This window comes from Homo sapiens, chromosome 6, assembly GCF_000001405.40.
Source record: "Homo sapiens chromosome 6, GRCh38.p14 Primary Assembly".
Lineage (NCBI taxonomy): Eukaryota > Metazoa > Chordata > Mammalia > Primates > Hominidae > Homo > Homo sapiens.
The window spans coordinates 137,035,977-137,056,959 of NC_000006.12; the positions used below are offsets into that span (position 1 = coordinate 137,035,977).

The 20,983-nt window shown below is 40.3% G+C and overlaps 1 protein-coding gene across 5 annotated transcripts in view, besides 3 other annotated features; it reads right to left on the bottom strand.

The window, feature by feature from the left end:
- Nucleotides 1-8,989, bottom strand: part of IL20RA (interleukin 20 receptor subunit alpha) — a 44,995-nt gene extending 36,006 nt beyond the window's left edge. For 4 of the 5 annotated variants that reach the window (NM_001278724.4, NM_001278723.3, NM_014432.4 and 1 more), the window contains exon 1: nt 8,665-8,989. Coding sequence is in view for 2 of the 5 variants with exons in the window: in NM_014432.4 (NP_055247.4) it covers nt 8,665-8,752 (88 nt within the window). In the remaining 3 variants the exon portion in view is untranslated. Of the gene's footprint in view, nt 1-8,115; nt 8,299-8,664 lie in introns of those variants that run through there. The other variant, NM_001278722.2, reaches the window with a different exon arrangement.
- Nucleotides 8,482-8,531: a silencer, noted in NCBI's record as "silent region_17577". NCBI's record gives its function as "represses an Ori minimal core promoter by ATAC-STARR-seq in GM12878 lymphoblastoid cells {active_cell/tissue: GM12878}" and the evidence as "EXISTENCE:reporter gene assay evidence [ECO:0000049][PMID:35858748]".
- Nucleotides 8,602-8,711: a silencer, noted in NCBI's record as "silent region_17578". NCBI's record gives its function as "represses an Ori minimal core promoter by ATAC-STARR-seq in GM12878 lymphoblastoid cells {active_cell/tissue: GM12878}" and the evidence as "EXISTENCE:reporter gene assay evidence [ECO:0000049][PMID:35858748]".
- Nucleotides 8,742-8,801: a silencer, noted in NCBI's record as "silent region_17579". NCBI's record gives its function as "represses an Ori minimal core promoter by ATAC-STARR-seq in GM12878 lymphoblastoid cells {active_cell/tissue: GM12878}" and the evidence as "EXISTENCE:reporter gene assay evidence [ECO:0000049][PMID:35858748]".
- Nucleotides 8,990-20,983: the final 11,994 nt, after the last annotated feature.

Sequence of the window (20,983 nt, forward strand, 5' to 3'; positions counted from 1 at the left end):
AGAGCAGCCAAGACGGGAGGCAGAGGTCTCAGAAGAGTGAGCTCCTCTGCTGGATAAATTTAAATGTCTTTAGTCTTTATTAAGTACCCATTGACAGCTCTGCCTTATGGTCAAGTTACGGAAAGCACAAGAGAAGACCTCGTCCGGGCTCTCAACATTCTCAGTAGAGGCTTTCAGCTCTCACCCTTCTGCAAAAGTTTTCCTTCATTGGACACAGACTCCTAAACATGTTGGAGAGGAGGAACCACTGCATGTGGCTGAGAAAACATTCTTTTCCACCATAGATGCCAAGCCCATGGATCCTGCTTGGTATTCTATAAGTCTTTGAGGGTATGGTAGATGTGATGAGTTGAATTGTGTTGCCCAAAAGAAATATGTTGACATCCTAACTTCTAGTACCTCAGAATGGGATCTCATTCAGAAATAAGGTCTTTAAAGAGATGAGCAAGTTACAATGAGGTCATCAGGGTGGGCCGAAATGCAGTATGACTGGTGTCCTCATAAAAAGGGAAATCTGAACACAGACAGACATGCAGAGTCTTCTGGAAGACTATGTGAAGGCAAACAGGAAGAATGCCATGTGAAGATCAGGGAGAGATCAGGGTGTTGTGTCTACAAGCCAAGGGGTGCCTAAGATTGCCAGCACCACCAGAAGCACGAAGAGGCACAGAATGGATTCTCCCTCACAGCCTTCAGAAAGAACCCACCCTGCTGACACCTTGATTTCAGACTTCCAGGCTCCAGGACTGTGAGGCAATAAAGTTGCATTATTTTAAGCCACCCAGTTTGTGGCACTTTGCCATGGCAGCCTTGAGAAGCTAATAGAGTAGGTGTCTGTTGCTTGCTTGTATCTTTCCTCAACAATGAGCACAATGTTTATTGAAAAGAAAAATGAATGCTCTAAGAGCTGCTGGAGTCTCCTGAAAGTGAAGATGAGGGGACTGATGTTGAGCAAAAAAACCAAAACAAAAGAAAACCCTGCAAAGTTGGTAAGGAGGAAATTTAAATACGGTTGATAATGTAAACAAATGCTTTAACTAGGAGCACATAGCTGCCAAAATATCCCACGTCATCAAAATGCAAATGTAGCTGTATGGAATGGAACTTTGGACTATGCAGCCGAGAAGAAGCGGGGTGAAAAGTATACATGGTATACATGTTGAAATCAAGAAGTATAAACAAAGCTTCCCCACAAGTCTGTACAGGACTAAGTATGCCTTTTCTCTGTGTTGTGGGTAGAGCTGGCATTTGCTTGAACAGTGGATAGTGATTGAAGTATCCATTTTGGTGGTGCAAAGTGTAATGCAGCGATTGCTACCCTCAAAAAACAGACCCAATTTCGTATAGATAATATTTATAGTCAATAAAAATTGTCCTTTCAGCAAAGAGTAGCCTTAGTTGCATTTAAGACCATCATCACAAGTTCTAGATAAAACACTATGCCATACTTTCATTCCCTATGCTGTAAGAAGCAAACAGAAACAAAATCACCTCCAGAGCAAAATGAAATTGTACTAATATGAAATTCTGAGTTTGAATGAGGGTCTGTGTCTCATAGATGACAACAAAGATAAGAAAGGAGGGCTCCTTTTAGACATCAGAGGCCTGTGTTCATCAGGAACCTGATGCTGAATCATTGGAGGGTAAATGAACCTTCCAAGGTTCAGTGTTTAGAATGTTGTAGACCAGCAGTCTCATCATGATCTATAGGAAGTCAGCCCGAGATATTGCAAACAAACTGGAACATATACTGGAAATACTGGGAGAGAGAAGGCACCTAGCAGTTTTCTGGGGAGGTGGTTTTCTGGAGAGGAAAGAAGACACAGAGGAAATGTGATGGTTGAATTCAATGATCTGAACAGCTTGTCCAGCATGACTTCATTGGCTTAGAATGAGGACTAACAGTGAGTGAAAATTGAAGGATCAAGGCTCAGCTCATTTTATCAAAGAACTTTTTAATAGTTGAAATCTGCAGTGACAGGACATCCTGCCTGCCTGGGTGCAGGGTAGTGAGTATCCTGTGATGAGAGGTGCTCACACAGCAGACAGGTCATTACTTGGAAGTGATGCTGCAGAGGACAATCAAGAGAGTGGCAGCTGGGTGGGGTGACTTTTAAGGTCCTGTCAACTCTGAGTTTCTACATCAAAAGGAATTCTGAAAGATAAAGCAGTATTTAATTTTAATGTCTCTGACTAGCATACTTTCTTTCTATAGTTCTTTTGTTCTCCTTTTTTTTTTTTTTTTTTTTTTTTTTTGAGACAGAGTCTTGCTCTGTTGCCCGGGCTGGAGTTGCAGTGGTGCGATCATAGCTCACTGCAGCCCCAAACTCCTGGGCTCAAGTGATCCTCCTGCCTCAGCTTCCCAAGCAGCTAGGCATTACCAAGCCTGGCTATTTTTTGAAATTTTTTTGTAGAGATGGGGTCTCTCCTGGCTGCTCTCAAATTCCTGGCCTCAAGTGACCCTTCTGCCTCAACCTCCCAAAGCTCTGGGATTACAGGCATGACCCATTGCCCTTGGCCTTGTTCTCCAATTTTATATGTAATTGATAGACCTTGGAATTGATTAAAGTGATTTAATTCATGTTTCTCATATCAAATTTTGTGTTATGTCATAAACTGTAGACTAAGAAAATGTAAAAATGCTGTCAGAACATCACGATGATAGCAAAAGTATAATGTTATAATTAAGATGGATAATGCGATTTTACTCCATAAAATATATGCTGCCTGAAGCCTCAGATGATCATTTTTTTTAAATCAATATGGAAGTCAGCATGTCAATGACACCTGGTAAAATTGTACTTTGAAGAAAATGGTGCAAATAGAAAGTCATTTTTAAAATGTAACGCATATAATGAAAGTTGCTTTTAAGAAAGCCATACAACTTTACAGAACAATCATTTTGTGAAAAATACTATGCCAAGCACTAAAAAAGGCAACATAGAGATATACAGTTTCATTAAAAAATTATAAAAACAGCAAAAGTTTTATGTTGAAATGTTTATACTAAAATCTTAATTTTAAAGCAATAATCCCACTTGCCTATTGTCTTTACCCACAGTTTATGAGTAAGTGAAATATATATGTCCTACCTTATGGTTCTAAGAGTCAGAGCTAAACGAAAAGGTATAATCAGGGAGGTGGTGCTTCCTCCTCAGCCCTACTATGTCGTTCCTATTCCATGCCGCTTTCCATGGGTAACCAATCTCCTTGGCTGCTCTCCAGGTCGCAAATACTGCCTTTCCTGAATTCATTCTATAGGAAGCTGAGTAGTTCTAGGCAGGAGGAGTGCACATTGTGAGGAGTGAGGCTGGAGATACCTGTAGCCATAAGCTTGGATGTTGGGTACATGATACTCTCTGGGGAGGCTGGGGCTGGGCCTCAAGCTGATAGATCAGGAGGCCTGCAAATCTATAGATAAGAAATCACCCCAAGTCTGCTTGAAGGGCAATAGGAGAGAGGCTGGAAAAGAAGACATGCTTTTTTGATAAAAAGAACACTTGAGCGAGCAAATCCTCCATTAGCTGCAGTACAGAAATCAGATTTAGACCTGGATCTTAAAACATACACATATTTGCTCATCGGTGCAAAAGAAATTCAGGAAAAATAAACAAGAAATGAAGGAGATGGCATGGAATGTGGACCAAGAACAAAGTAGAAATGATGTCAGAATATCACAATGACAGTGTAAGTACAACATCGTAATCACATTTATAGTGTAATGGGAAAGAGGTGGTGGTATGGTGAGGAATAGAAAGGAGGTAGTAGGGCTCAGAAGGGAGCCACACTTGTCTGAGAAAACCGTTTTGTATAGCTCTGACTTTTATAAGCACAGTAATATTTCACCTAGCTGCCAAATGCCCCAAATGTCACAAACAAAACAACTAGCATGAGGGGGAACCCAAATTGTAATACAAGCAGTTTAACAAATGAACTGAACTTATCCCAAATGGATAGAATAACCACACCAAAAGGAGTAAAGAAAAAAAAGGACTAAGCCAGGTAACTTTGGTCAATAGTATCTTCATGGGATATTATAAAGCTTAAGACCAGAAAACTGTACATAAAGGCTATAATTTAGTAAGTACACGTTTTTCTCATAAGAGCATGAGTTAGCAATCCTGAAAATATTTATATTAGAATCAGGCAAATAAGTCTATTGTAGATAATGACATCTGGGTTTCTCACTGTTAGACAAAGAGGCTGTAAATGAAAGAGGAAGGCTAGAATGAAACTTGATTGTTAGGTTGAAATTAGTGGCACCATTACAAACTCACGGTCTTAAATATATATACACACCCACAGATACATACAGAAATATAGATGTGTGTGTATAACTACGTTAGTCTATACACACATATTTCCCAGCTCCGTCCACCGAGAGCACCTAGAAACAACATTCCAGTAGCAATAAGCATGCCTCACACCCAGATTTTGGTTTCTAAACACCTTTCTCCAATAGAAGGAACCAGAGCTTCCTGAGGAAGTCATTAATTCCAGGCCTGGGGCAGGGAAAACACTAGATGAGTCTGGAATGTTGTTGGCACTAGAAAGTTAATGAAGTGCTCAAAAAAGATGGGGTTCCTTAGAGGGACACAGGAGCCAAACTGAAGGAACTCTTAGTGGCCAAAGCTGGAACAGCATGAGCAATAAAACTGATAATGATAGTATTGGATTATAAATGAAAGAAGAAGACACATCCATGAGTCCATACTGATATACTTAACCAATTGAATAAATACCTAAAAAGGCAAAAATGATGACCCTTCCTTGTAATAGAATTCCAATGAATAAATGTGGAAAAAAAGAGTGAAATAAAAAATCACTACTAGGTATAGTAGTTTTTGCAGTCAAAATCCACCGATAGATACTAAAAATAGTTGGGTGTGAGTTTGGGGATAAGCAGGATTTTTGCATAATCTCAAAGTATCTCTCTGCAAAATATTTATTAGTCACACAGTGAAAAATCGTAACTTTATAGTAAGAAACTCTGAAGAGACCACCTTAACCAAGCGATCAAGGTTAACATCACCAATAAGAAGACATGTTGATATTACAAATCCTTTGAAGTGACAATTTATGTGGCATTTCTGCCAAAATTGAATAACCTCATTCTAAGCTTGAGGAAACTTTACATGAACCCAAACTGAGGGATATTCTAAGGAAGAGGTAACTGGGACTCTTCAAAAGTATCAAGGTCATGAAAGCAAAGAAAGGCTGAGGATCTGTCACCAGTTGGAGAAGACTAAGGGGACATGACCACTAAATGTAATGGGAGATCCTGGACTGGATCCCGAAACAGAAAAAGGGCATTATTGGAAAAATGGGTGATACTCCAGCAAGGTCTATAGTTTAGTGAGTAGCACTATACCAGTGTTAATTTCCTGGTCTGAACATTGTACAATGGTTACATAAGATGTTTTAATTGGGAGAAACCAGGTGAGAGGGATATGGGAATTCTTTGTGCTATTTCTGAAACTTCTCTGCAAGTCCCAAATTAGTTCAAAATTAAAAGTTAAAAAAAGAAAATAATTCTGCAAGTTTAATTAGTTCACTAGAATCATTTATGTCCCTGTGTATGTGTGTGTGTGAGTGAAGTATGTCCTGGAATAACTTCTCAGTGAAATAAAATACGGAATGCTGCCATGTTTGTATCAAAGAAGAGACATTTTGACTAATACTCTCACTCCATTAAGTCATTCTAATAAGCATAGTTGTTGTTTGGTATTTAGACTGCAATCTAAAGCTCCAAAACTCAAGTTTATTTGTTAATAGACATCATAAGCTATACTTTTTTCCTCTTTGGGGATTTAGGGAAGACCCTGTTATTTTTTTTTAAATATATATATATATATACTGTAAGTTCTGGAATACATGTGCAGAACATGCAGGTTTCTTACATAGGTATACATGTGCCATGGTGGTTTGTTGCACTCATCAATCTGTCATCTACATTAGGTATTTCTCCTAACGCTATCCCTCCCCTAGCCCCCACCCCCCGACAGGCTCTGGTGTGTGATGTTCCCCTCCCTGTGTCCATGTGTTTTCATTGTTGAACTCCCTAGGGAAGACCTTCTTGAGGGAAGCACATTGGCAGGAGAGGCCAAAGTCTGAGCAGGAGTTAGCTGGGAATAGAGTGGCACAGCAGCATTCTAGCAGAGGGGCTGCCAGTATGAATCTCCAGTAGGAACTTCCAGAGGAACTGCCAGTATGAGTGAGATGGGAAACACTTTGGCTTGTCTGGGAAGTAGAAAAAGGCCAGGATAGCAGGAATTAGGTGGTGTGAGATAAGGCTGGAGAGACAGGCAGGAGTTGGCCACACAGGATCTTGTAGAACTGAGAATGATTCCAGGAACAGTAGAAGCCTCTGAAGGGCTTTGAGCAGAGGAGGCAGATGACCTGAGAAGTCACCATCTCCCATTCTATCTTAGTGACTTTAAATGCCTGTTTATATTATGCTAATCATGGTTCTTTATCGTTCCTGAGAACAGGATATGGGAATGGCCAATAGGGCGGAGTTTGATAAGCCATAAGGATAAACTTCACTGTGAAATTCTGTCCCTGGAGGGGTCCAAGAGTGAATGACAGCGTGTTGCACCTGCCTTGAGGGAGCCGCATAGACATTTTGAATTCCATTACAACTTTATCTGAAATGAAATACCAAGATTTCCCTACAAGGTTCATGACATGCTGAGTTTTTTTTTTCCTCTTTGGATGTTTTGGTATTTTACAGCCTGATATGGCACTGAGCTGTGAGACGAAAATTTTTAGAAGTTTAAAAAATGAGAGCATTAAAGCATTAATCTACCTGAGAGTGGCAAAGTCATAGAACCTTAGTAAGCCCACGTTGTACAGAAGACATTGTAGATAATCCTTCAATTACGAGCAGGTAGTATCCAGGTAACTACATACATCTTCTAAGGTGGTCTTCCCAGCAGTCCTTAGACCTTAGCCCAAAGACCCAGGAGAGGACGGGAATACCCTAAGAAGAGCTAAGAAAGTAGTATCAAGGTCTCTTGGGTCAGAAAAGATTTCTTACTGTTTTGTTTTGTAAATTTTATTTTGAAGTCAAGAACATTACTACCTGGTAATGTCAGCACCCAACAATTTTATTTCTCTCTCTCACTTTCTTTGTTTTTGGTTTTTTCCCCAAAGACAGGGTCTCACCCTTGGCCAGACTGGAGTGCAGTGGCGTGATCATAACTCACTGCAGTCTGGAACTCCTGGGCACACGGAGTAGCTAGGACTACAGGTTTTTGCCACCACGTCTGGCTAGTTTTTTATTTTTATTTTTTTAATGTTTAGTATAGACAGGGGTCTCCGTATGTTGCCCAGGCTGGTCTGAAACTCCTGACCTCAAGCCATCCTCCTGCCTATGTCTCTGTCTCTCAAAGTGTTAGGATTACAGGTGTGAGCCACAGCGCCCAGCTTCTCTCTTCGATTAAAAATAAAAACAAATTTCTGTCTGTTAGTTGAAGGCTCAATATTTGCACGTCAGTCGTTTCTTCCCATTCAGTCTACCCGGGAATATTAAAAGGAAAAATAACTATAATTTCTGATAAATTTAAAAGATAAAATATTTTATGTATAATAGCTATCGTTCAAAATCTCTCCAAGATCTGTGTGCATACTTTTCTTATTGTTGTAACTATATTGAATTTAACTTTTTCTTTAACTACCAAGGACTCCAGATTCACCGTCAACTTTCTTCCTGCATTCACTCTTACTGTTCAGTTCTGGGTTAAAAGACAGCGGGGCCTGAACGAAGTGTCTACAAAGCACAGTATTTGGAGAAGCTTTGTTGTTGTTTTTTAAAATAATTTTTTTAAAAAGGGATCCCGGATATCTTTTTTGTTTTTTTAAAAAATCTTTTTCTCATGTACGAGAAATACAGGGAAAAAAAGCAATCAGGTTAATGAATCATTCTGGTTTACTGGATTCCAATTGGTAGAGAATTTAAACTTAAAAACCAAACAAAACGAAAGAGCTCTTCAGTTACCTTATGTCGTAAACGAGTTAAAAGTTTTGTTATTTCTGAAAAATCAAAGAGCACTATCTGTACATGGTCATAACTGCAAAGGAAACAACGGCGTACCCAGGACAGGGGGAGCTTACTTTAAGAAGCTGCGTCTTTCTGGATCATGTTCCTTCGGGGCTGACCCTTTCGGGGAGTTTGGCTTTTAAAGCGCGGATCTCGCGACGCGCGGCTTGCAGGACTGCGGGGCCCGGCGGCCGAGACGCGGCATCCACAGGGGCCCCTCCGCGCGGCCGCGGCGGTGGTGGCGGGAACCTGGGACTGGCCGGCGAGGGGCCCCGCATGGTAACCGTCCCCGACCGCAAGTCATAGGCTGTGGGCACCGCGCAGAGCGCACCCCCCACCGAACTCCCCCCACCCCACCTCAATTCTCGAGACCGAAAGTGCGGAGCGCGGAGTCCTGCAAACTTGACCCCGAGCCAAGGTGCGCGAGGCGACGGCGAGTGTCCCCCGGGCTCCCTGCAGCCCCGGGGCTGGAAGCTCCGGCCTCCGCGCACCTCGTCCTCTGCCCGCCCGAAAGCGAAACCTGGCCGGCGGGCAGGAGGGGAGAGCTCGGCCTCGAGCTCTGCCTGGCGGGGCCCCGGCCTGGAGGCATCCCCGACCCGCACCTGGCGGCGCGACCCACCTACCTGCCCGTCCCCAAGGCGCCGCCAGGAGCAACAGCAGCAGCGGCGGCAGCGGCAGCGGCCGCAGGGCCGGGCGGCCGGGAGCCCGCATGGGCGGCGGGGCTGGGTCACATGTCGGGGGGCAGCAGACTGCTCAGTCCCACGCCCGCTGGGGCCAAGCGCGGCCGCGCGGCCTCAGCTCCGCGCCTGGGGCTCTGCGTGCCACGCTCCAGGCGACCTGAGTCCCAGGGCGCCTCCGCCACAGCCGCGTCCCCCAGGCTTCCCCAGAAACCAAGGGCGAGCGACTCGCGGAGCCCCCACGCGCGCTCCCCCGGCTACCCAGCTGGATGGCAGCGCGAGGGCAGTTCTCGCGGATTTATAGTCCCCAGCCACTCGGCTGTCAGTCCTGAGAGTCTGAGAGTTTCCACCTCTCGGGGTTCATGCCCAGACCAACCAGGTCACTAGGCAGGTAAAACCTCCTTCTGGTAATGAGCGAGGCGAGTGCATTGCAAAGAGATTCTGGTATTCAGGCCGGTCTGATGGTCAGTTAAAGTTCAATATCGGAAGACGGATGAAATAGAGCGTTATTTCTCGATATACAGTTAGGCACTCAGCCGTAGATCTTACAGTCATGCATCATTTAAGATGACAGGATTACCTCCTGAGAAATGTCTTAGGCGAGTTTCTTGTGTGAACATCTTAGAGTGTACTCACACCTATATGGTATAGCCTCTTACACGCCTACGCTATATGGTACAGGCTGTTGTTTGCTCCTAGGCTACAAACCTGTACGGCAAGTGACCATACTGAATACTGCAAGCAATTGTAACACAATGGTAAATATTTGTGTATCTAAACATGTCTGAACGTAGAAAAGGTACAGCAAAAGTACAGTATGAAAGATTTTAAAAATGGTACACCTGTATAGGGCACTTTCCATGAATGGAGCTTGCAGGACTGGAAGTCGCTCTGGCTGAGTCTGTGAGTGGTGAGTCAATGTGAAGGCCTAGGACATCACTGTGTACTACTATAGGCTGTATAAACACTGTATTACACTTAGGCTATGCTAAATTTATTAAAAAATTATTTCTTCAATAATAATAAATTAACCTTAGCTTACTATGATTTTTTACTTTCTACTTTTAAATCTTTTAAACTTTATTTATTTATTTATTTTTGAGATGGAGCATTGCTCTGTAGCCCAGGCTGGAGTGCAGTGGTGCGATCTCGGCTCACTGCAACCTCTGCCTTCCGGTTTTGATGATTGTCCTGTCTCACCCTCCAGAGTAGCTGGGATTACATGTGTGTGCCCCCACGCCCGGCTAATTTGTTTGTATTTTTAGTACAGACTGGGTTTCGCCATGTTGGCCAGGCCGGTCTCGAGCTCCTGACCTCCGGTGATCTACCCTCCTTGGCCTCCCAAAGTGCTGGGATTACAGGCGTGAACCACGACACCCGACCTAAACTTTTTGACTTGTAATAACGTTTGACTTAAAACACAAACACATTGTGCAGCAGTATGAAAATATTTTTTCTTTGTATTCTTTCTATAAGCTTTTTCTATTTTTAAATTTTTCTTTTTCTTTATTTTTTCTTTACTTTTTAAACTTTTTTGTTATAAACTAAGGCACAACCACACACATTAGCCTAGGCCTGCACAGGGTCAGGATTGTCAGTGCCACTGATGCCACCTCACATCCTGTCCTCCTGGAAGGTCTTTAGAGACAATAGGAATTTTTTCAGCTCTATTATAATCGTATGAGACCACCTTTGTATATGCAGTCTGTCACTGACTGAAAAGTTGTTATTTGATTTCATTCAACTCTCACAACCTGCAGTTAGGTCCTGGCCCTTTTTTCAGATGAGGCAAGGGAAACTCAGAAAGTCTAGGAATCATCATGAAGTCCCCCAAACCTGTGAGTGGCCTGTGACCAGTGGTGTGTGGACTTCCACACAAGGCGGTGGGTCCTAGGTTCCATGCTCTTTATAATGGGAGGGGGGAAGGGTGCAATTAAGAGGTGAGTCTTGAAATACTATATGAAAAATCTGAGAGAGGCTCTCAGCTTTGTACCTTTCTAGGTGGTTCTAAAGGTTGGGCACAGCCTGAAGATAGATACACGATTTACCTCAGATGTGTTCCATCTCTTTTGCCCTTAAATGTCTGTTTTCAAATGCTCCAATAAAGGGAAACGACACTCAAATTAGAGCAACTATTGTTTTCTTTTTCTTTTTCTTTTTCTTTTTAAAGGGGGTCTTCAGTATTAAAAAAGATCTTTTTTGGTGAGGAGGGAGTAAGGAGATAGAAGATGGGGCAGGATTTTCTGAGTCGCCTAAGTATGCTACTTTTTCCTTCCTGAAAGACTTGGAAACAGAGGAGGAATCTGGGTCAGAGGGCCCCTTAGGCTGGGATGTTAGCTTCGTGGTGCTGACGTGAGGCCTCTTCAAACCACTTTTCTTGTTTGTTAGCTGGTTCTTTTCCTTTCCACCAAAAGGGGCCCTGAAGGAATCCTGAAAGCTGGATGAGGAAAGAAGGGACTTGCTTCCTATTTGTTTGCTGTTCTTGTCACTAAGGCCCCACAGTGCCTCTTTACCCTGGCAGGGACAGCTAGTTCTAGGAGCAATTGTTTCTAGTTCCCAGCTTCTTCCTGTACTCCCAGAATCAGCTTCACTGCATCTCCTGAGAAATACCAGCACTGAGTAGGCTATGCCCCATTCTCAGAGGTCTGAGTCCCAGTTTCCTGGAGGCTTCGCTTCTGGGATCTGAACCCCACGTCTGCCCTGTGTTCCTTTAACCCTGACGGTGGTAGTTGCTTCTAGTAGTCACTCTGTCTCTTTCAATCTCAGTATTCCTGCTTTACTTTTTTAGTACTCCAACATCTGTTTAACCAATTCCTTACAGCAAATTCTTTCTGTTGAAATAACTAGTGTGGTTTCTGTTTTCCCAACTGGACTCTTATTGATTCCATTGTAATCCCAGAACGTTTTAGGAAGGACTCTGTGTGATCAGTACATTATCAATATTATCTTGAGTTGCTGTTGTTCTTACTTTTTGATTATAAATTGTATTAGTTTACTTTCATCATTATCATCTTAAGTCTTGTGGGTTAAATAGGGTAAATATTTGCTACAAAAGTGTTTGGGGCCAATCATTTTTGGATATCTAAATTTTGTATGCATTTCTATTCAAATATGAATCGTTCAGACCCTTCAAGAGGCTAAAGCAGACCTATACAAAGCCTTCCCTTATCTCCTAAGTCTTCTGAACTTGAACAGTGACATTTCATTATTTCACCAAGTTTTTCCTCCAGCTGGAAAGTGGGAACGGGGTAGGGGATGGAGTAACTGCGACTTGGAGTTTCTTCCCCCATGAGTGGGCTGTCAATTGTCTGAGAACAAACAGTTTTCTGCATGCCTCTCGTCCCCTCTCTCCTTTCCTCTTCAAGTTCCCCTTGGCACTTGTCAGAAGGCAGTCAAAATTTTACCTCTAAGGCTTGTCTTTTACGTGTTCACAAACTCACCACTCTGTCCTCAGAATGGCTAGGGTTCTACAGGATGAGTGTGACCTGAGAACTTGCCATGTATTCAGTTGATGTTTCCCATGCATTGAAATAAAGAGTGGAGTCAGTTTTTCTTTTGTTTGCATCTGTGACCCAGAACTCACCTTAGTGAGTTTCCTTAGTATCTTCAAATCTAACCTCTTACCCCCCTCTGCTAACTTTGGGAAGCAGCAGTCTTGGTTCCTCCCCATCTAAGCCTCCCAGGCAATATAATCTTCAGTGTGTTCTTCAGAGACTTTTGAAATGATGTTTTCGAATTGAGGTTTTCTTCTACTTCTCAACTTTGCAACTCCTCTTGCCATGATTTACCACATTGAGATCTTAATTTTGTGGAACCTGATGTATAGGATTTCCAGGCTTCCCGATGAAAAAGGCCATAAACCACTACTCCTTACCTCCCACCCCAAACACTAATACCACAGGCAAAAAATAATTTTTTTCTATCCTAGTTTAATTACTAAATAGTTTCCAAGGATAATACATACTAATAATACGAAGTTACTGAATTCTTTCTTTGAGTCAGATCCTACCTAAGAAATTTAAATTTCCTAACTACCTCCTTCAATCCTTACAACAATTCTGAGAGTTAGTTACATTACCCCAAGTTTCAAAACAAGGAGACAGACTTGGACAGGTCATTCGTTTAATAAGCAACAGAAACTGGAAACTGAATGCTGGTTCATCTATTTTCAAAGTTTGTGCTTTTAATAATTTCCTTATATGCCTCTTACACTTGAGAAAATGTTATGATTTACCTTTTATAATTAGGTCTACAATACATTGAGCTAATTTTTGTATATGAGGAAAGAGTAAAGATTAATTTTTTTCCATATAGATATCTTACTGGTTTTTGAGGTCTGAACTGTAAAACAGCATGAATATAATTGCTAAAGGCCTAATATTCAGCATATGTAATGAATTGCTTCAAACAAATTAAAAACAAAATAAAAAGACAATCTAATATTGAGTTTATATAGGTTACACACCACTTAGTTGCCACTGTCTTCTTCTGAGAGAGGAAGAAAAACCCTAGCTCCCTAATGTCAACAGATTTCTTGGAAAGTAAATTAATTCTCTCAGGAAGGCAAAGGGGAAAGTACCTACCCTGGAATATAAACATTTGGCTATGGTGGGGAGATAAATTTTATTACTCTCTGAATGAGACCAGATGGCTCCAGATCTAACACCCTTGCAATGTGAGGAGCAAATGATTCTGTGGAAGAGGAGACAGTCTATGGCATGCCAATTTTCTTTGCTCAGGGAGACAAACCATCCAGAAACGTGAAAATATTCATGTTTCCCTGACGTCTCATTATTTGAATATACTCCATTTGATTGCCCATTCTCCGGTTGATAGACATTTGGGTTGTTTCATTATTGAGTTGTAGGTGTCCTTTATGTATTCTGGGTACAAGTTCTTTGTCAGATATGTGCGTTGCGAATATTTTTGCCCACTTCATCACTTGCCTTTTCATTTTTACAATGATGTCTGCAAGAGCAAAAGTTTTTAATATTGATACAGTCAAGTTTTTCACTTTTTTTCGTTATGATTGTGGTGTCTCGTCTAAGAAGTCTTTGTGTATCCCAAGGTTGAAAGAAAGATGGCTTTTCCTAGAAATGTTATAGTTTTAGCTTTTATAATTAGGTCTGCAATACATTGAGCTAATTTTTGTATATGGTATGAGAAAAGAGTAGAGATTTTTTTTCCAAATAGATGTCTTACTGTTTTTGTACTATTTGTTAAAAAGACTTTCGTTCCACATTAAATTGCTTTAGCCATTATTGTTGAAAATCTATTGAAGATATATGTATTGGGTCATTTTTAGATGTCTACTCTTTGGTCTGTTTGTCCATTTTGCATCAATACCATGTTTTAACAAAAGGAGCTTTTTAGTTTTTTAATGTTGTACTTGTATACCGAAAAGTTTCAAAGGCAGTAGTGCAGAGTTTCTGTACACTCCTCACACAGTTGCATCACCGTGGTAAATTTTTAAAACTAAGAAACTTCCATTTCCATTGGCACATTACTGTTAAGCAAACTTTAGATTTTATTTAGATTTCTCTAGTTTTTCTTCTTCTTCTTTTTTTTTTTTGTTTTGAGATGGCGTCTTACTCTGTCACCTAGGCTGGAGTGCAGTGGCATCATCTCTTGCTCACTGTAGCCTCTGTCTCCAGGGTTCATGTGATTCTCCTGCCTCAGCCTTCCAAGTAGCTGGGATTACAGGCACCCACCACCATGCTCAGCTAATTTTTGTATTTTAGTAGAGATGGGGGATTTCACCATGTTGGCTAGGCTGGTCTTGAACTCTTGATCTCAAGTGATCCACCTGTTGCAGCCTCCCCAGGTGAACCACCACAACTGGCCTGGATTTCTCTAGTTTTTCTCTTTTTGTTCCAGGATCCAATCCAGAGTACCATGCTACATCTAGTCGGCATGTCTTCTCAGTCTTTGGTCTGATAGTTTCTCAGGTTTTCCTTTTTTTTTAATGACCTTGACAGTCTTGAGGCGTATTGGCCAGATGTCCTATAGAATGTGCCCCAGTCTGGGTTTGTTTGATGTTTTTTCTCATGATTAGACTGAAGTTAATGGTTTCTTAAAAAAGTATCACAGAGGTGAAGTGCTTTTTTTAATCATATCATATCAAGAGTATATGACATCACATGACATTGATAATGATGTTAACCTTCATCACTTGCTTAAGGAAGTGTTTGCCAGGTTTCTGTACTGTAAAGGTATTGTTTTACGTTTTCCTACTCTGTATTTTAGAAGACAGTCATTAAGTCTAACCTACCCTTGGGGAGGGACAGTGGTGGTGGCCAAAATTAAGCTCCCCCTTCTGAAGGGAGGAAATAACTTTGTATGTTATTTGGAAATCTTCTGCAAGGAAGATCTGTCCCTTCTCTTCTCCCTATTTACTTATTGATTTATTTAAATCATTTATTTAAATTAATATGGACTCAAATGTATTTATTTTATACTTTGGGTTATAGTCCAATGCTACATTCTTTATTTTCTTGCTCAAATTGTTCCAGCTTTTGCCATTGTGAGCTCTTTCAGGTTGACACCTGTGTTGCCTTGATACACCCCCATCCTGTTTTGATTTGTCCTGAGCACTTCCTTACTTTCTGGTAATGTAAGAGACTCCAGCCTCGTCTTGAATTTATCTCTGCTAGCCTTAAAACCAGCTATTTTTCCATGGAACCCTGGTTTATTTTATTGGAGAATGGTATTCCATTGTTTGGAAATTGCAGAATATGAAGGTACTCTGTGTGTGTGTGTGTTTGTGTGTGTGTGTGTGTGTGTGACAGAGAGAGAGAGAGAGAGAAAGAGAGAAAGTTTCTGTGTGCTTTAATCTGGAGGAAACCAAGGAGAAACAATTTCTTAAAAGATGGGTCATTTTTATATAGACAGGTATATATATATGGCTGAAAGCAAAGAAACTTACTCTTTTCTTGATGCCTAAAGAATAGAGGAAGAGTCAAATAACTACAGAAATGGCCCCTTCAGTTTACCCAAATTCCAAATAAGCATTTATCTGGCCCCCAAGTGAGAGTTCAAACAGTGACAGACTCTTCATCTCTCCATCCTTTAATGAACAAATGGAGGATGGGTTATGGGCCAACTGATGGCCTAATGTTGAGGAAACTGCACGGCTCTGGTGTCATATATGGATTAATTCTCAATTCCACTCTATCCAAACAGTGTGGCCTTGGTCTCTGTGTTAGACACTATGATGCACCACCCAGACCCCACTTCAAAGACGGATTTGTTGTCCAAGCTCCTGGGAGTGCTAATATTAGAAGCCTCCAGCTGTCAGCCTTTTCAAGGACTCTCTGAGTGGCTGGGAACTGACTCACCCAAGGTCAGGTCCCTTTCCAAGGCTCAGTTCCAATGACTAATCAGATATGGGACAATGAAGACCTAGTCATCTTGGTCCAACTTGGGGCAATTCTGTCCATTCTAAGTCCAGAGCTCCTTTGGCCAAGGCTGTTGCTGAACCTTCCTCACAGCTCACCTGCATCCACTCTTGCTTCCTTTTCCTCCCTCCAGCAGGTGTTTATCACAAGGGCCCTCCCCAGTAACACCGTACATACTAAAGTCTACCTCAGAGTCTGCTTCCTGGGGAATACACCTGTGATGGCCTCTGTGAACTTCACTGACATCCACCCCCACCCCCAGCCCTATCCCCAGGCAGCCACAGACTACCTTTATAATAAACAATCAGTGGCATCTGGATTTTCTCCCTAGGTTCCTCTTGCTGTAACAATCCCCTACACATTAGAGTTCTTCAGTTTTGTCTTTTTATTCACTTTTCTTCTCACTCTACAATATTTCCATGGGTGATTTCAATTTTTTTTTTTGGTGGGGGTGGGTACAATGTCTGTGGCACAGGCTGGAGTGCAGTGGCACAATCATACCTCACAGCAGCGTTGAACTCCTGGGCTCATGCAGTCCTCCCACCTCAACCTCCCGAGTAGCCAGGACTACAGGTCTGTGCCACCACGCCTGGCTAACTTTTAAATTTTATTTTTATGTTTGTAGAGACGAGTCTTGCTATGTTGCCCAGGCTGGTCTTGAACTCCTGGCCTCAAGTGGTCCTCCTGCCTCGGCTCCCAAAGTGTTGGGATTACAGGTATGAGGCATTGCACCAGGCCAATTTCAGTTTTCAATCTCCAATCTAGGCCTCTTTGTTGAGCTCTAGAAATCCCTCTCTTAATTCCCCAGCTCTACTTGTAAGTCCTATGTACCTAAATTTCAACTTGTTCCAAGCTGAACTCATCTGTACAGTGTCTATATTTTCTGTTACCCAAGTGAAAAGTCTGGGAGTTCTCCAAGACTTCTGTGGCTCTACTCAAGCATTATATCCTTCCATCTTCATCTTCAGTATATTTCTTGCATTATTTCCAGTGTTTCTCGTGGCTCCTTTGTGCCACTGTTATATGTATTCTGTATATATCACACAGTTCTGATAATGTCAAAAATATGTATCAGTTATATATGTATTTATAGCACTATATTGAAGTGGTTACATATATGGCTATTAGACTGTGAACTTCTTGAGGGCAAGAACTATGCCTTGTTCTCTCTCTCTTTTTTTTTTGAGATGGAGTCTTGCTGTTGTTGTCCAGGCTGGAGTGCAATGGCGTGATCTTGGCTCGCTGCAACCTTTGCCTTCCAGGTTCAAGTGATTCTCCTGACTCAGCCTTCAGAGTAGCTGGGATTATAGGTGCCCATGCCTATACCTGGCTAATTTTTTTGTATTTTTAGTAGAAACAGGGTTTCACCATGTTGGCCAGGCTGGTCTTGAACTCCTGATCTTAGGTGATCTGCCCTCCTCAGCCTCGCAAAGTGCTGGGATTACAGGCGTGAGCCATGGCGCCCGGCCTTGTTCTTTTTTATATCTCCAGTGTCTAGTGTAATGCTGGGAATGTAGTACATTCCCGATGAATTTTGTTAAAACAAATAAAACTTCTCTGAAGTTTTTTTCTATATATTTTAAGCTGCAAATCCAAAGGGTCTGTTTCTTAACCAGCATGTATATGCACCCACACAGAAAATACACACACATCTATGTGCAGACACACTCCCTTTCTGAAATCCTCACATCTCCATTTCAGTGTTCAACTATCCTGTACAGGATATGAAATAACTTGGAAAGGGACAAATTAGCTATTATTTGAAAGTCAGAGTCATATCTTGTTTATCATCCATATATTCTAACTTTTCTTCTTCTTTCATCAGTTGTTTTCTTATTCTGTGTATTGAATTAATATGAGCTAAACCTAAGAGAGATTTGCATAAAAAGGATTTATACATTTAAAGTGAAATGTAAAGTTTCGGTGTTAGTTTTGATAATTCAGTTAAGTACTTCTTTATTTACTTAGTATACCAAGGCATGGTTATTCAAATATTCAAATATATCAATCATGTATAACTATACCACTGCACAGTAATGTAAGTACTCAATGAATTAATACATTTAAAAATCAAGGTTGTAAATTCTTTGTTTTCTTTTTAATTTTTAAAAAAAGTTTTGTAAAGCTGACAATTCTTTCTAAAGAAAGAATAGGTTTAATTCCATTCCTATCACAATCCTAGCAAGATTATCTTTTAGACATAGACGAACTTATTCATAAAATGTACGTGGAAAGGCATCTTAAAAATGTCCTGGGCCCAGATGGCTTCACTGGTGAATTCTACCAAACATTTAAAGAGGAATGACTATCGGTCTCTCATAGACACTTGGAAAAATGAAGAGAACACTTCTTAACTCATTCTAAGTGGCCAGTGTTACTCTAATACCAAAACCAGACACAGATATAATAATAAAATGAAACTACACATCAATATTCCTTACGGATATAGACACAAACATCCTCAACAAAATACTAGCAAACTGAATCCACCAACATATAGAAAAGATTATATATTATGATTAAGTGGGATTTAGCTGAGCAATGCAAAGTTAGTTTAATATCCCAAAATCAATTAATATAATATACCATATCAACAGAACAAAGGACAAAAACCACAGACATGATTGTCTCCATAGATTTAGAAAAAGCATTTGAAAAAGTCTAGCACCCCTTCATAATACTCAAGAAACTAAAAATAAAATGGATTCTTCAACCTGATAAATGGCATGTGTGAAGAAACAGCTAAGATCACAATTAGTAGTGAAAGACTGAATGCTTTCCCTATAAAATGAAGATAAGATGAGATGTCCACACTCAACCCTTCTGTTTAGTATTGTACTGGAGGTTTCAGACAGGGCAATTCAGCAGGAAAAATAAATAAAAGGCATGAAAAGGAAGAAGTAAAACTATCTCTATTCACAGATGACATACTCTTAGATGTAGATCATGTATATGGAAAATCTGGAGGGACCCATTAAGAAACTATTAGAACTAATGAATGAGTTCAGCAAAGTTGAAAGATACAAGATCAGTATACAAAAACCAATTGTTCTTTTACATGGTTGCAACAAACAATGAGAAAATGAATGCAATTCCACTCAAAATATAGTATCAAAAACTATAAAATGCTGAGGAATAAATTTAGTAAAAGAAGCACAAACTTATACTACAAAAACTAAAAACCATTGCTGAAGGAAATTAAAGAAGATCTAAATAAATGGAAAGAATTCAATGCTTATAAGTTGGAAGATTTAATATTGATAATATGGTAATACTCCCCAAATTGATCTACAGATTCAATGCAATCATTAACAAAATACCAGCTGGTTTCTTTGCAGATATTGACAAGTTAATCTTAAAGTTCATATAGAAATTTAAGGGAGCTAGAATAGTCAAAATAATCTTAAAGAGCAAAGTTGGAGGACTCAAGTTTCCTGATTCAAAACTTACTACCAAGCTAATGTTGCAGTGACATAAGGACAGACATATACATCAATGACATATAATGAGAGTTTCAAAAGAATAATAATTTATGGTCAATTGACTTTTGACAAGGGCACCAACACAATTCAATGGAAAAAGGGTAGTCTTTTCAACAAATGATGCAGAACACTGTATATCCATGGCCAAAGAGTAAAATTCTTTGAACTTTGTCTCATAAACTATATGCAAAAATTAACTCAAAATAGATCAAAGACCTAGTGTAAGAGCTGAAGTTATAAAACCCCTAGAAGAAAATATAAGATAAACTTCATGACCTTGAGTAGGAAAATGGTTTCTTAAATATGACAGAAAAATCACAAGCAATTAAAGAGAACTAGGTAAATTGTACTTATCAAAATTTAAAACATAGGTAAATCGTACTTATCAAAATTAAAAATTATTGCACTTCAAAGAACACCACCAAAACAGTGAAAAGACACCAAATGAATGACAGAAAATATTTGGAAATCGTATGTCTAATGAGACTTGATTCTAAAATATATAAATAACTCTTATAGCTTGATAATGAAATGACAAATAACTCAAGTAAAAAATGGGCACAGGGCTTGACAAGACATTTCTCCAAAGAAGATCTACAAATGGCTAATAAGCACAGGAGAAGAAGCTTGACATCATTACTCATCAGGAAAATGCAGTTTAAAACCACAGTGAAACCCACACTTCATACCCATGAGGGTAAAAGTGCCATATTATAATAACAAAGACAACAATATTGTCAAGGATGTAGAGAAATCAAAGCCTTCATACACTGCTGGTGAGCCTATAAAATGAGTCAGCCACTTTGGAAAACAGTGTGTCAGTTACTAAAATGGTTAAACAAAGAGCTATGATATGACCCAGCACTTCCAATCCTAGGTATCTAACAAAGAGAAAAGAAAATACATGTCCACACAAACACTTGTACACAAATATTCATAGCAATGTTATTTATAATAGCCCCAAATTGGAAACAACCCAAATGTCCATCAACTGATGAATGGATAAATAAAATGAGGCGTATCCATGCAATAAAACATTATTTGTCAAAAAGAATGGAGTATGGATACATGGATGGATTAGCCCTGAAAACATATGCTAAGTGAAAGAGGCCAGTCACAAAAGGCCACACATTCTATTTATATGAAATAAATTCTATTTATATGGAATGTCCATAATAGGCAATTTTATAGAGACAGACAATAGATTAGTTGCTTTCAGGCGCTGGGGCAGGTGGTGGTTGAGAGTGGTTTGGGGGTGACGGCTAAACAGTAGAGTTTTTTTTCTGGGGTAATGAAAATATTCCCAAATTGATTGTGATGATGGTAGCTCAATTTTGCAAACATGCTAAAAACCACTGAGTTACACACTTCACATGAATACATTGC